General features: G+C 36.9%; 1 pseudogene; it reads right to left on the bottom strand.

Moving 5' to 3' along the window:
- On the bottom strand, nt 205-780 carry CYCSP39 (CYCS pseudogene 39; annotated as a pseudogene).

Here is a 1,050-nt window from a genome sequence, read left to right on the forward strand (position 1 = left end):
TTTCCTTGGTTCTGAGACAGTGAAGGAATTTCCCCAGTATTTAAATATATTCACATAACCAGTTATATAAATCTAAATATAAAACCAATCTCCAGTAAGTTTTAAGATGGCACTCACCATCTTTGCGAAAAGTTGAACATTACTAACAAAGTCTAGTTCTATCTTTAGTAGGGGTAAACAGTGATAGCATTTACTGAATTGGAATTACTATTACAATTCAAAAACTGAACATATTCATTTAACCACAACCCAGTCTTAGTTTTAAATCAGGACTGCCCAACAAAATATTCTGTCAGTCATTCATGATCTGAATTCTGGTGTATGAGATCTATTAAAGTATGGTACACATAAAAAAGTCACGAGACATTTCTGTGTTGTAATAAATAAGGCAGTGGCCAATTATTACTCATTAGTAGCTTTTTTGAGATAAGCTATCAAGTCTGCTCTTTCTGCCTCCTTCTTAATGCCGGCAAAGATCATTTTTGTTCCAGGGATGTACTTCTTGGGATTCTCCAAATACTCCATCAGTGTATCCTCTCCCCAGGTGATGCCTTTGTTCTTACTGGTGTCTGTGTAAGAGAATCCAATGGCCTGACCTGTCTTCCACCCGAAGAGATTAGGCCCTGTCTTATGCTTGCCTCCCTTTTCCACGGTGTGGCACTGGGCACACTTCTGAACAAAAATCTTCTTGCTTTTCTCAACATCACCCATATTTAGTTCTGTTTTTCGTTGCTGGCGCAACTAAGGTTCCTGCTCTGAAGCTGGACGTCTCCAGTCTCTCGTATCTCCCCTTTTTTTTAGAGAAATGGTGGTATGATATAGACACATTTCTCTACCTGGCTTTTTCATTTCACAGTATATCCTGGAGGAAACTGCCCATATACAATTTTGAGGAGAAAAGATTGTAACTCAAAAGTAAATTTGCTATTTAAATTTGAAAGCAATAGAAAGACAATTTCCAGATATGCAAGGCCTTAGAAGTATCTTACTAAAAGCAAACCAACAAACAAACTCTACAAAGAATTTGTTGTTCATTGTATAGATTAATTT

This window comes from Homo sapiens, chromosome 16, assembly GCF_000001405.40.
Source record: "Homo sapiens chromosome 16, GRCh38.p14 Primary Assembly".
NCBI classification, from domain to species: Eukaryota; Metazoa; Chordata; class Mammalia; order Primates; family Hominidae; genus Homo; species Homo sapiens.